Source organism: Homo sapiens, chromosome 4, assembly GCF_000001405.40.
Source record: "Homo sapiens chromosome 4, GRCh38.p14 Primary Assembly".
Lineage (NCBI taxonomy): Eukaryota > Metazoa > Chordata > Mammalia > Primates > Hominidae > Homo > Homo sapiens.
The window spans coordinates 142,463,739-142,479,490 of NC_000004.12; the positions used below are offsets into that span (position 1 = coordinate 142,463,739).

At 38.2% G+C, this 15,752-nt stretch overlaps 1 protein-coding gene across 36 annotated transcripts in view; it reads right to left on the bottom strand.

Annotated features, from left to right (window-relative positions):
* The window catches only part of INPP4B (inositol polyphosphate-4-phosphatase type II B), an 823,376-nt gene that overhangs the window by 440,579 nt on the left and 367,045 nt on the right, over positions 1-15,752 (bottom strand). For 14 of the 36 annotated variants that reach the window (NR_169617.1, NR_169615.1, XR_007057981.1 and 11 more), the window contains exon 1: positions 10,488-10,683. The exons of 16 other annotated variants lie outside the window; for them this stretch is intronic. The gene's annotated coding sequence lies outside the window, so the exon portion shown is untranslated. Of the gene's footprint in view, positions 1-4,218; positions 4,318-10,323; positions 10,684-11,747; positions 12,009-15,752 lie in introns of those variants that run through there. 6 more of the 36 variants (NM_001385344.1, NM_001385348.1, XM_047416353.1 and 3 more) reach the window with 3 other exon arrangements.

Sequence of the window (15,752 nt, forward strand, 5' to 3'; positions counted from 1 at the left end):
CTTATGGTTTTATAAGATCTTCCCCCTTTTGCTCTGTGCTTCTCCTTGCTGCCACCATGTGAAGAAGGACATGTTTGCTTCCCCTTCCATCATATTTGTAAGTTTCCTGAGGCCTCCCCAGCCCTGCAGAACTGAGTCAATTAAACCTCTTTCCTTTATAAATTACCCAGTCTCAGGTATGTCTTTATTAGCAGTATGATAACAGACTGATATATTAGTAAAACGATCAGCCTAAAGGAAGTCTTGGGGACCCCCAATACAACCACCCTATAAGGGAGGTACCATTATTATTATATAGAGAGAATTTGGCAAAGACAGGTGAAGTAATTCAGGCAGAGTCCCACAGGTAAAGAGTAGTATTTGAATTTAAAACCACTGATCTGGTTCCAGAGTTTGGGCATTTTACTACTATATATCATGCTATTTATAAAACAATTTACTATTATATATAATTCAATATGTGTATAAAAATGTTACCTGGTTCTTTTCTCTATTTTATTATCAGGAATAGTTTTCAAATTGTAAATTTACTATCAGTTACTATCTTTTATAAAATGATTTCATATTATTTGGTCAAAAGATGTAGTAACTCATTGGATTAAAGTTGTTCTTTAACCATTGTACCTCATTTGAAAGAAACATTCCCCTAGTAATGTCAATAATGCAGATGAGATATAAAATTTTCTCATTCATATTATCATATGTCTCTCATCATTCTGTATTGTTTACAATATAAGCAGGTGAAACTACAAAGAATAGGCTTTAAATTATACCAGGACTCATTTAATTTGGGGAAAAAAAATTCCAGTTTTTCTTTAGATTTCTCATTTTTTGAGCCCAGTAGACCCAGAGTTGCTTTTAAGATAACTGTTAAGAAAAAAAAAAAATGTTTCATAGTAAGAGAAATCATGAAACTGATCACTTAGTTGCAACTAAAGAAAATACAAACCATCTGCTTACTACTAAACTCAAAACAGAAAATAATATAGAAAAGTCATATGTGTGCTATATCAAACTTTCACCAGGTAGAATTTACAAGATACTTTGGTCTAAATTTTTGTGGTCCTTAAGTGTCTTAGTTTTATTTTAACACTTGAACAAAATCATAATTTATCTTTCATCTTATTCAAATCCACCCAAATCTAAGCATTGTGCTCTGTTGTACAGAGTAGATGGCAGTATCCTGTCCTTATTAACAGAACAGACTGCACATCTCTTCTGGATGTTTTAGTTGACATTACTTCTGCAAAGGTGATGAGTTTACCTTGCAAATAAAATATGATCATACAAAGGCCAACATAGTCTCATATAGTCCATAGTGTCCAAACAAGCCCTTGAATAATTTTTTTAAATACCCGTAATGCATACACAAGATGGGTAACACTTTATATAGCAATGAATAGATACATCAAATATAAACTGGATAACTGTGCAAGTCTAAAGGACAAAAGTTTATGATGCAGAAAGATCAACTGTCCTATGTGAGCCTGAGTCTTTCAGACTTTTTTTTTGTTCCCATTATGGGGTCATTCATTACTTGTCAGCTCCCATCATGTAGCAAGAACCAGTATTTACTAAAACCCAATGAAGTGTATAGTCACCTTAAATATACATCCCACAGACTTAATGCAAACAAGACGTTATTTAACATTTATCATTATCTTCATGATAAATGACCAAATAGGATATTTTCTTTAATTAGGACACAGAAGTTTTCTTTTAGTAGAAAATTTGAATTTCTATGCTAACTTCTGGGTGTTAAACTGAATTGAACATTATTGTTTAGAATTAAAATGCAGAATATTCCAAAAAAATTGAGGTGGCCTCCTATTGTGCTTCCACTTTATTCTATATAGGTCAGTGCCTTCTTTGGTCCCTGTATCCATTCCTTTTGTGGCCTTTGATATGGGGTTTGGATGTTTGTCAACTCCAAATCTCAGGTTGAAATGTGATTCCCAGCATTGGAGATGAGGCCTAGTGGAAGGTGACCGGATCCTGGGGGAGGATCCTTCATGAATGGCTTAGCAACATCCCCTTGGTGATAAGTGAGTTCTTGCTCCAAGTTCACATGATATTTGGTTGTTTAAAAGAGTGTGACAGCTCCTCCCCAGCTTGCTCCCTCTCTCACCATCTATGTGCCTGCTTCTCCTTTGCCTTCCACCATAATTGGAAGCTTTCTGAGGCCTCACCAGAAGCAAATCCTGTCACCATACTTCCTATGGAACCTACAGAACTGTGAACCAAATAAATCTCTTTTATTTATAAATTACCTAGCCTCAGGTATTCCTTTATAGCAACACAAGAGCAAACTAAGACAGAAAATTGGTACCAAGGAATGGGGTGTTACTATAGAGATTCCAGAAAATATGGAAGCAGCTTTGGAAGTGGATAATGGGCAGAAGTTGGAAGAGTTTGGAGGGCTCAGAAGAAGCAGGAAGATGAGGAAATGTTTGGAACTTCTTAGAGACTGGTTAAATGGTTGTGACGAAAATGCTGACACAGATACAGACAGTGATGTCCAGGCTGAAGAGATCTCACATGAAAATGGGAAACTTATTGGGAATCAGAATAAAAGTCACCCTTCTCAATCCCTAGCAAAGAACTTAGCTGCATTCTGTCCATGTCCTAGGAATCTGTGGAAATTTGAACTTTAAGACTGATGACTTAGGGTATCTGGCAGAAGAAATTTCTAAGCAGCAAAGCATTCAATATGTGATCTGGTTGTTTCTAACAACTTAAATCAGATACAAGGCAAATAAATGACTTAAAGTTAGAACTTACAATTAAAAGGGAAGCAGAGTGTAAAAGTTTGAAAAATTTGCAGCCTGACCATGTGGCAGAGGGGAAGAAAAAGCATTTTTGAGAAAATGTATTGAAGCAGGCTGCAGAGCAACTACTTGCTAGAGAGATTGGCATGACTAAAAGGGAGCCAAGTGCAAATATCTAATACAATGGGAAAAAGGTCTCAAAGGCATTTTAGAAGTCTTCAAGGAAGACCCTGCCATCATAGGCCCAGAGGCCTAGGAGGAAAGAATAGTTTCAGGGGCCAGGTTCAGGGCCCCATTGCCCTGATCCGCCTTGGGATATTGCTTTCCACATCCTGGCCACTCCATCTCTAACCATGGCTCAATGGGGTTCAGGTACAGGTACAGCTCAGGCTGCCACTTTGAAGAGCACAAGCTGCCATAAGCCTTGGTTGCTTCTACATGGTGTTAAGCCTGCAGGTGCACAGAATGCAAGAGTGAAGGAGGCTTGGCCACTCCCACCTAGATTTTAGAGGATGTATAGGAAAGATTGGTTGCCCAAGTAGAAGCCTATCACCAGTGCAGAACCCTAACAGAGAAACTTTACTAGGGCAATGCGGAGGGGAAATGTGGGATTGGAGACCCACAAAGAGTCCCCACCAGGGCACTGCCTAGTAGAGCTGTGGAAAGGGGGTCACTGACCTCCAGACCTGAGAATGGCAGAGCCACCAGTAGATTGCAGCTTAAGCGTGAAAAAGCTGCAAGCACTCAATTCTAGCCTAGGAGAGCAGCCGTGTGGACTGCGCCCACAGAAGCCACAGGGGCAGGGCTTCCTCAGGCCATGAGAGTCCAGCCCTCACACCAGGATGTGGGACATGAGGTCAAAGGAGATTGTTTTGAAGCTTTAAGATTTAATGATAGCCTTGCTGGGTTTCTGACTTGTGTGGGGCCTATTGCCCCCCTTTTTGGCCAATTTTTCCCCTTTTGGAATGAGAATGTTTACCCAATGCTTATACCACCATTGTATCTTGAGAGTAAATAACTAGTTTTTTTTTTGTTTTTTGTTTTTTGTTTTTTCAAATCTCACAGGTTCATAGATGGAAGGAACTAATTTCTAGATGAGACTTTAGACTTGGGACTTCTGAATTAATGCTTGCATGAGTTAAGACTTTGGAGGACTATTGGAAAGGCATGATTTGTATTTTGAAATGTGAGAAAGACATGAGATTTCGGGGTCCAGGGGCAAAATGATATGGTTTGGATGTTTGTCCCCTTCAAATCTCATTTTGAAATGTGATTCTCCATGTTGAAGGTGGGCCTGATCAGAGGTGACTGGATCATGGAAGAGGATCCGTCATGAATGGCTTAGCACCACTCTCTTGGTGATAAGTGAGCTCTTGCTCTGAGTTCATGCAATATCTGGTTATTTAAAAGAAAGTGGCACCTCCCCTCCCTCTCTTGCTCCCCCTCTCACCATGTGATGTGCCTGCTCCTCCTTTGCCTTCCACCACGAGTGGAAGCTTTCTGAGACCTCATCAGGAGCAGATTTCCAGTACTATGCCTCCTGTAAAGCCTGAAAAACCATGGACCAATTAAACCTCTTTTGCTTATAAATTACCCAGCTCCGAGTATTTCTTTACCATGATACAAAAGCAAATTAACACAGCCCTGAATGAGGTTTTCATAACATCCTTTTTATTTTTCTACCCCAGGATCCTGGTGTGATGGGGATATAGCTAAAGTCAGAGCTGACTATTTGTCTTTTCCATCTTACCCCATGGAAGAAACCTGGGCCTTGTGCTGACCCCAAATAGCCTGAATAACTCCAGGTTAAGGGCCCACATCAGTGAGAGGTTTTGGGATATTATAGCAAAGGCAGAAGCTGAGTGAGATACAATTTAGAAGAGATCAAGGAGAGATCATGCCATGTAAGTCAGCAAATTCTGCAATATGGCTGCTATGATTCGGACGTTAGCTCCTCCAAACCTCATGTTGAAATTTGATCCCAAATGATGGAGATGAAGCCTAATGGGAGGTGCCTTAGTCATGGGGGTGGATTCCTCATGAAAAGATTAATGCCCCTCTCCGGGGAGAGTAAGTGAGTCCTCACTTTGTTAGTTTCCACAAGAGCTGATTCTTAAAAAGAACCTGGAACCTCCCCTCTTGCTCTCTCTTGCTTCCTCTCTTGCCCTGTAATTTCTGCACACACTGGCTCCCCTTCCCCTTCCACCATGAATAGAAGTAGCCTGAAGCCCTCATCAGATGCAGGTGTTCATTCCATGCTTTTTGCAAAGCCTACAGAACCATAAGCCAAATAAACCTCTTTTCTTTATAAATAATCCAGCCTCAGGTGTTCTTTTATAGCAATATAAATGAACTAAGACAACAGGTTTTCATGGGTTCTGAGAACCCATACATTTGTTCCCTAATAGGTCCAGCATTAAAATATGTGTCTTGGAAATTATTCACATATAGCTACTAGAATCTAGATTAAACTATTTTTAAGATAAATGTTAAAATTAAATCTAATTTCCCAAAGGTTTTAAAAATCTTATAGTTGTTGCTCAGTTTCCATCCCTAATTGTAAAGGCAAAGTAGAATTAAGCTGACAATGGCATTCTCAACATAGCCTTCAGGTCAACAGAAAAACTGTAAAAAAAAAAAAATTCTATTAGAATTAATAAAATAACTCAAAGTTCAAGGATGCAAGGTAAATTTGCAGCAATAGCTTTTCTATATAATAGCAAAAAATAGAAAACAAAATTTCCAAAAGAATGCAGCTCCCAATAGCAGCTATAATAATCCAAATTACTACAGCAGTAACAACAAAATCAATAAAGAAATTATGAATAACTCTGTAAGGAAAATTATAAGAAGCTATAAAGAGAAGTAAAGAACTGTAACACGTGTAAGTGGGGAAATATTTACAGCATAAATATCAATTCCTTCCAAATTAATTTATATTTTTAGTATAATTCCAATGAAAATTCTAATGAAAGTAATTTTAGAAGCTCTTAAAATTTTCCAAAGTTCATTTGAAGAAAGTATTCTAGATCATAAAGAATATTCTGAATATTAATAAAATGTTTTGCTCTAATGATAAAATATATTTTGTGACATAACATGTAACACAGTGAAGAAATGGCTGAGAAAGTGATTTACAGATTAGTGGGAAAACATGGGTATCCCAGAAACATTCAATTTTATGCATTTGCTCATTCAACAAATATATAATGCCTGTCATATGCCAAGCACTGCACTAATTATTAAAGGGACAATATAATTCCTTCAGATGTCTGGTGGGGAAAAATTAACAATTATTTTTATTACAATTGAAATTGATATAAATGGGCATAGGACTCCAAGGTTGCATATAGATAGCGAACCTAAACCCAATGTATAATAAAGTGAGCACCACAAATTTATAAAAAAGAAATGAAGTATTTAATGATTGTTGAGACAGTTGCCTATCCTTTTAGAATAAAATAAATTATGTTCCATTAGACAGGGATATAAATTCCAGATGTATTATGGAAGTAAATACAAATAAAATACAAAATAAAAAGTAAAGAAAAATGGAATTGATAATTTTCACACTTTTTTGGAGGGGTCAATTCTACTTTTGAAGCTTATAAGTGCTAGAAGAAATTATAAAGAAAACGCATAGCAGATTGGGCTACATAAAAACTTCCCTAGTTTAAAAAAAAATAGGAGCAGATATAAAATTATTTGCAACAAAGGCAATATACCAAAATCTATTTTGTACAAATACTAAATATCAAATGAGAAATATTTAAAAGATGCTTCACAATGAAGAAACAATTCATGAATAAACATATGAAAAATGTTCAACTTCATTAATACTCAAGGAAATAACCATTATAAACAATGATCAACAGTATTTCATCTAACAAATTGGCAAAGAAGAAAAAGTTCATACTTGATGCTATTTTGAGATTGCTTTGAATGCTACTTTCCTACATTCCCAAGAGTATTTTCTAAGAACTCTAAAAGTGTTCCTACCCTGTCCCAGAAAATCTAGGAGGCATTCTCACCATATGTGGTTAGCACAAGATGCTCATTTCAGGCACATCCTATTTTAATACCCACTATACAATAATGCTGTTTAGACAAACGACTGTCAAATATTTATCATGATATTACAAGTACCACAGCCAGCATGTGGGAGGCATGCAATAAATATGTCGAATGTTGAATAAATTAATGAGCTTGTTTCTTCATCATTAAATAAGTGTGACATTGGCTTCTCAAAATATGTTTTCATATTCTTTGATCTAGTAATTCTAATTTTGGGTTTCCATTCTAGAGAAATAATCCTAAATGTATAAAAAAGTTATATACACAAGTTACCACAATATGACCAAAGTAGGAAAGAAATAGAAACATCCTAAATATTCAACAATAGAGGAATCTTTGAATAAATTGCATTAACTAATTTGATGGAATGTTAGGTCACTATTAAAAAGACGTTAATGAAGAGTTTAAAATGGCTTATACCAAAATGTTAAATGTAAAAAGCTGTATTTAAAAGTTGTATATCTCATTTATGACTATGGTTTGTGTAGCAGGTAAAACTCCGTGTAAAATTCCATCTTACTATTCTTTAACTTTATCTCCGTGAAGAAGTTACCTTTTTTAAGTCTGCTTTTTTCATCTATAAAATGGGAAAATGACAATACTGGCTATCACCAAATGCTGTTATTTTTAATTAACGATCAAAATAGATAATTCAAACAATGTTAGCTATACCTATCTCACAGTAAGTGTTCATGTTTCTACAGCTATAGCTTTTTTTTTAAAGCATTAAATGAAAACAAAACCTAGCATACCAGAAAGTCTAAATGCAAATACGTCAATGTGTTGGCAGTAGTTATTTTTGTTTGGTGGATTTGGCTGTCCAAAACATTTGGAACATCTCTCCTACGTCAAGGAAACATCCCACCTTACAAGTTCACACATCACCAAGACGGATGCTAGAAATCCACTTCTTAGTCTTCCTTATACATACAGAACAAATATATGGCCTAGGCTTTTCTGATACCATTGTTCAAGACTTCAGCTCAGAAAAAGAATCCATCTGGCAACCCATTCTGAGAAATGACGCCTTTGCCAGCTGTCAAGACAGTGGGGGCAGAGGTTCTGCCCTGAGGCCCAGCATCAGCAGTGTAGGCAGAGATACCTGTGCTAGCAGCAGTCACAGTGAGATTTCTTTGGAGCAGTGCTCGTGTGTATTTAGCTGGGGTTGGAGCTCCTGAGCACCCGCAATCCAAGCCTGAGCACCCGCAATCCAAGCCTGAGCCTCTGTTCTTTAGGATTTTAGTGGATCCTAGGCACTTTTGCCTTCACCAGCCCCTTCCTCCATAGTATACACACACACACACACACGTATATGTTATATAATAATATTTTATGACTGCATTGGTATAAAGATATATTAATATGGAATAAAAATCTTTCAACCTACAAATTATTTTTTTTCAGATTTTGAAAGCACTGTGGGCCTTAGCAGTACGCTTATTGAGTAAGTTCACCCTGCTTAATGTTTTCAAAGGAATTCCTTTTTCCTTTAAACTAGCTGGAGTATACCTGACTGTACAGGTGGCAAAACTACAGTGAAATTTTCACTTTGTTGAACATTTCTAGGAATTCTTAAATTCTTTGGAAAAGTATGTCTTACTTAGTAAAGAGAAAATAATACATTTATGAAGAAAAAAAGAAAATCTGAACAATTAATTTATCTTCAGTAGCTTATAGCATCAAATGAAAAAAATGCATATCTCAGAATCTTAAGCTACAAAAGTACTGTAAAGATCATTGTAGGAAAAAAAAAAAAAAGTCATTGTGTCCAATTACCCATCTGCTATTTCAATTACCTTTACCCCATACCCTGACCAAGTTGTCATTGTCAGTGATACCGAACCCAGTAAGTACTATCTCTGGAAGAAAAGCAGACATTCTGTCTCTTGATTATATGACTGTTAAAAGTTCCTCTTTAATACTGAAAAAGAAAATATATTTCTGAAATATTTTTCCCCAAATGTATCTCCAATATATGAATATTCTTTATGTTCCCATTTTAGATCCCCAATACCAGTGCCTCAGAATTATTACATAGCTCCCCATCTCAAAAGATTCTTATACCTACTTGCACAAATTTTTTCCTTTGAGTCTGTATCAATCTATGATTTCCGTAGGCCACCTGTTTCTCCAAAGCAAAGATGTGAATTACTAAATCAGAGGCACTGTATCTCTTCAGATCATTATTTCTTTGACCCCCCATCAGAAGAATACAAACTTGCATGAGGTCATAGTTTAAAAGGAAATTTGGAATCCAATACAAAATGCAGACATTTGTATTTTGAAAAGAAAAACTTTTCTACTTTATGAATTTTTCTTGAAGTAGCTACCCAAAACAAAATAGTAAAAACTACACAAAACTAGAACTCTGGGAATACCAATTATCAGTCTTGGTACTGCTCCTAAATCCTGTTACCAACAAAATCAAGGTCTCTCAGATAAATTAAATAATAAAGACAATTTAGACTCTCAACATTTGATGACTTGATTTCTAATAAAGATTAGATCCCTTAGGACATTAGCTACATGACTAAGTAAAATTAATAAAACTGATCAGTGTCATCTGATTTGTAGTTGATATTTCCTTTTTGGGGGAAAGGCCAAAATGGCAGACTAGAAGCCGCTAACAAGTGCTACTTCTAGAGGAAACAAAAGGGCTAGTGAACACTGACCCTGCAGGCTGATCATCTGAGCAACCACATCAGAATCCATCAAGGCAGCAGAGGAACGCAGAGAGCAGAAAGGAGCAAAGCAGGACACCACCCTGTCTGGGCTTAATGTAGAGTCAGCAGAACCTCTCCAAAATGGAAAAGGATGAGTAAGACCCCTCTTGGGGATACACACTGCCTACAGGGACAAATGCAAGACTGGGAATGAGATCATCCCTTTGGCCCACTCCACGGCCCCCCACCATGCTTCTAGACTGAGGCAGATGTTTTCTGGAGGCAACTCTCAAAGTGCAAGGGGAACTCTAAAAGACTTTGGCCCCAGAGCAGACCATCACCAGCACAATAGCCCCAACAGAGGTCGCAGTTTGGTGCCTGAGAGCAGTAAGATTGCTCCACCCAGCTCACTGGACAAGGTCCCATGTTAGGTTCTAGTCCAGCGGTCCCACTTCTGCCATAACTTGGCTGGCAGCCACCACCTCCTGTTGTCCTTGGAAGTACCCAGACAGCAGGGCTGGTGACTCCATGACCCCCACAGATAGCCAGATGGGAAACACCTGCTAGAACTTCCAGCCCAGCAGACTCACTTCCCTGTGAACTCAGCTGGAAAGTGCAGCTTCCTGTTATCCCGGGAAGCACCCAGATGACAAGGCAGGTGACCCCACCCACCCTTGCCTTGGATAGCCAGGTGGACAATGCTTGCTAGTTTCTGGTCTAGTGCTCCTGCTTCTGTGTGTACTCAGCCTTAAGGCATAGCTTCCTGTTGTCCCAGGAAACATCCGGGCTGCAGGGCAGGAGACCCCACCCACCCTTACCACTAGTAGCCAGGTGGGCAACACTTGCTAGAGCTTCCGGTCCAGTGGTTCCACTTCTGTCTGAACTGTCAGTGGACACAGCCTCCTGTTGTCCTGGGAAACATCTGTGTAGCTGGGCAGGTGGCCCTCTCCATTCTCACTACGGGTAACCAGGCTAGCCATACCTGCCAGAGCTTCCAGTCCGATGATCCCTCTTCTGTCTGAACTCAGCCAGTGAGTGCAGCCTCCTGTTGTCCCAGGAGACATTCAGACAGCAGGGTAAGTGACCCTGCCCTTGCCTCAAACTGCAGGTAGCTAGGCTGGCAATGCCTGTTAGAGCTTCCAGCCCAGTGATCCTTCTGCTGTCTGAGCTCAGAAGGCAGGCACAGCCTCCTGTTGTCCTGAGAAAATCCTGTAGAGCAGGGTAGGTGACCACAGGGTGAGTAACCACAGGGTGAGTGACCCCACCCACTCCCACTGCTGGTATCCAGGCAGGCAACACCAACTAGAGCTTTTAGCCCATCAGTCCTACTTCTGTGTGAACCTAGCTGGAGGGCACAACCTCTTGTTGCCCAGGAAAACACCCAGACAGTAGGGCAGACTACCCCACTGACTCCTGCTGCTGGTAGCCAGGCAGTCAACGCCTACTAGAGCTTCCAGCCCGGCAGTCCCACTTCTATGTGAACTCAGCCGGAGAGCACAGCCACCTGTTGTCTGGAGAAACATCCAGATGGCTGGATAAGTGACTCCACCTGCCCCTACCTCTCTTAGCTAGGCAAGCCACACCTGCTAGAGCTTCCAGCCCAGTGGTTTTACTTTTACTTAAATTTGCCAAAGACCACAGCCTCCTATTGCCCCAGAAACCACCTGGATGGTAAGGTAAGAAACTCCACTCACACCCACCTGTCATAGCCAGATAGGCCACACCTGCTAGAGTTTCTAGACCAGCAGTTTTGCTTCCGTCTGCACTCTGTGGGCAGGTGCAACCTTGTGATCTCCCAGGAAGCACAACTACAGCAGATTAGAACTGACCCAGAAAAGATATGGCCTGTCTGCCAACTGTGGCCCTTGCCTGAGAGAGCCCCATTGATCAGAACACTTAATAAAAGAAATTTGGGCATAGAGACAATAACTGGAGGGGACACCTCCAAGACCCAGGAGTAGAATAGAATCAAAACTAGTCGACTGAACTCATACCACAAGCAAATTTGCAAGGGCATCACAGAATATAAAAGCAAATAAACAAAAAACCCCCAAAAAACAAAACAAAAACAAAACAAAACAAACAAAAAAACATCTAAAGGACAGCAACTTCAAGGACTGAAGGAATATCAGCTCACACAGATGAGAAAAAAAAAACAGTGCAAAATTCTGGCAACTCAAAAAGGCAGAGTGTCCTTCTTACCTCTAAACAACCATACTACTTACCCAGAAATGGTTCTTACCTGGGCTGAAATGGCTGAAATGTCAGAAATAGAGTTCAGAATATGGATTGGAATGAAGATTATCGACATTCAAAAGAAAGAAGAAACCCAATTCAATGAATCTAAGAAATATAATAAAATGGTACAGAAACTAGAAGGTAAAATGGCCATTTTAAGAAAGAACCAAACTGAGCTGATAGAAGTCAAAAATCCACTTCAACGATTTTATAGTACAATTGCAAGTATTAACAGCAAAATCAACCAAGAGGAGGAAAGAATCTCAGAGTTCAAAGACGGTTTCTCTAAATTAACTCAGACAAAAAACAAACAAACAAAACCAACAGAGAAGAAAGAATGAAACCTCTGAGAAATATGAGATTATGTAAAGAGATCATATCTATGACTCATTGGCATCACTGAAAGAGAGAAGCACAAAGTAAGCAACTTGCAAAACATTTGAGGATATCATTCACAAAATTTCCTCAACCTTATTAGAGAGGCAAACATTTAAATCCAGGAAATGTAGAGAATCCCTGTGAAAAACTACACCAGAAGACCATCCCCAAGACATAATTATCAGATTCTTCAATGTTGAAATGAAAGGAAAAATATTGAAGGCAGTTAGAGAGAAGGGACAGGTCACCTACAAAGAGAACTCCATTAGGATAACAGCAGACCTTTCAGCTGAAACCTACAAGCCAGAACAGACTGGAGGACAATAGTCAGCATTAATAAAGAAATTCCAACCAATAATTTCATATTTAGCCAAACTAAGCTTCATAAGCAAAGAAGAAATAAGATACTTTTCAGAAAAGTATATGCTAAGAGAATTTATTACCACCGGACCTGCCTTATAAGAGGTTCTTAAGAGAGTGCTAAATCTTGACAGGAAAGATTGTTACCAGCCACCACAAAAACACACTTAAGTACATAAACCATTGACACTGTAAAGGAACCACACAATCAAGTCTGCATGATAACCAGCTAACAACACAAGGACAGGCTCAAACCTTAAATGTAAATGGACTGAATGTTCCAATTAAAAAGCACAGAGTGGCAAGTTGGATACAGAAACAAGACCCAACTGTGCTGTCTACAAGAGACCCATCTCACATGCAGTGACACCCATAAGCTCAAAGAAAAGGGATGGAGAAATATCTACCAAGCAAACAGAAAAAAGCAGGGGTCGCTATTCTAATTTCAGATAAACCAGACATTAACAAACAGTGATCAAAAATGACAAATAAGGGCATTACAAAATGGTAAAGGGTCAAATTCAACAAAAAGACCTAACTATCCAATGTATACACACCCAATGCAGGAGCACCCAGATTCATGAAGCAAGTTCTTAGATACCTAAGAAGAGTCTTAGACAACCACACAATAATAGTGAAAGACTCCAAAACCCCACTGACAGATAGTATGAGAGTGATTATCAAGGCAGGAAAGTAACAAAGATATTCAAGACCTGAACTTGACATTTGACCAAATGGGGCTAATACCATCTAGAATACTCTCCATCCCAAAACATTCTTCTCATCGGAACATGGCACATACTCTAAAATCAACCACACAATTGGTGATAAACCAATACTCAGCAAATTCAAAGACAGTGAAATCATACCAAACACACTCTTGTACCACTGCACAATAAAAATAGAAAACAATATTAAGAGAATTGCTCAAAACCATACAGTTACATGGAAATTAAACAACATGCTCCTAAATGACCTTTTGGTAACCAATGAAATGAGCACAGAAATCAAGAAATTCTTTGAAACTAATAAGAATAAAAGTGCAACCTATCAGAATCTCTGGGACACAGCTAAAGCAGTGTTAAGAGGGAATTTGATAGTGCTAAATGCCCACATCAAAAAGTTAGATTTCAAATTAAAAATCTAACATCAAACCTAGAGGAACTAGAGAAATAAGAGCAAACCAACCCCAACACTAGCAAAAGAGAAGAAATAAGCAAAATTAGGGCTGATCTGAAGGAAACTGGGATGAAAAAAAAATAAATCCAGAAGTTGCTTTTTGAAAAATAAATAAGAATAAAGGACCACTTACTACACTAATAAAGAAAAAAGAGAGAAGATCCAAATAAAGACAATAAGAAACAACAAAGGAGACATTACCACTTGACCTCACAGAAATACAAAAAACTCTCAGAGAATACTATGAAAAACTCTATACACCCAAACTTAAAACCCTGGAAGAAATTGCTAAATTCCTGGAAACATACAGCTTCCAAGATTGAACCAGGAAGAAATTTAATCTCTTAATAGACCAATAATGAGTTCTGAAATTGCATCAGTAATACAAATCCTACCAAACATAAAAAGCCCAGGACCAGATGGATTCACAGACAAATTCTATCAGATATATAAAGAAGAGCTGATACCATTTGTAGTGAAACTATTCCAAAAAATTAAAGAGAAGGGACTCCTCCCACCTCAGCCTCCTGAGTAGCTGGAACTACAAGTATGCACCACCACACCTAGCTAATATTTGTATTTTCAGTAGAGATGGGGTTTTGCCATGTCGCCCCGGCTGGTCTTGAACTCGTGAGCTCAAGCAATCCGCTCACCTAGGCCTCCCAGTATGCTGGGGTTATAGGCACCCACTGCACCTGGCCAATTCTACTGATTTGTGTGCACTGATTTTGTATTCTAAAATGTAGCTAAGTTTATCTATCAGATCTCGGAGCTTTTGGGCAGAGACTGAAGTTTTTTCGGTATAGATGTATAAAGCCTGCAAACAGCTAGTTTGACTTCCTCTCTTCCTATTTGGATGACTTTTATTTCTTTCTCTTACTTATTGCTCTGACTAGAACTTCCCATATTATATTGAATGAGTGATGAGAGCGGGAATCTTTCTTGTTCCTGTTCTCAGGGGGAATTCTCCTTTTGCCCATTCAATATGATGTTGGCTGTGAGTTTGTCATAAATGGCTTTTATTATTTTTAGGTATTATTTTATTATTTTTAGGTATATTCCTTCAATGCCTAGTTGGTTGAGAGTTATTAATGTAAATGGATGCTGAATTTTATTGAAAGCATTTTCTGCATCTATTGAGATAATCATGTGGTTTTTGTTTTTAGTTCGGTTTATGTGATGAATCAAATTTAATGATTTCTATATGTTAAATCAAACTTGCATCCCAGAGATAAAGCCTACTTGATCATGGTAGATTAGCTTTTTGATGTGCTGCTGGATTCAATTTCTAGTATTTTGTTAAAGATTTTTGCATCTATGTTCATCAAGGATATTGGCCTAAAGTTTTCTTTTTTCTGCTGTGATTCTGCCAGGTCTTGATATCAGAATAATACTGGCCTCATAGAATGAGCTGGATCTCTTCCTTACACCATATGCAACAATCAATTCAAGATGTATTAAAGACTTAAATGTAAAACCTAAAACTATAAAAACCCTGGAGGATAACCAGCAAGGTTTTCATGATGAAGACAACAAAAGCAATTGCAACAAAAACAAAAATTGACAAATGAGACCTAATCAAACCAAAGAGCTTCTGCACAGAAAAGAAACTATCAACAGAGTAAACAGACAACCTAAAGAAGGGGAAAAAATATTTGGAAACTATATATCTGACAAAGGTCTAATATCCAGCATCTATAAGGAACTTAAACAAATTTACAAGCTAGAAACAAACTCATTAAAAAGTGGGCAAAGGATACAAACAGACACTTTTCAAAAGAAGTCATACCTGTGGCCAACAAACATATGAAAAAAATGCTCCACATCATTAATTGTTAGAAAAATGCAAATCAAAACCACAAAGAGACACCATCTCACATGAGACAGAATTGCTATTAAAATGTCAAAAAAATAACATGCTGGTGAATTAGCAGAGAAAAGACAACACTTAGACACTGCTGGTGGGAATGTAAATTAATTCAACCATTGTGGAAAGTAGTGTGGTGATTCTCAAAGAACCTGAAACAGAAGTAACAATTGACCCAGCAGGCTCATTATTTGGTATATACCCAAATAAATATAAATTATTCTA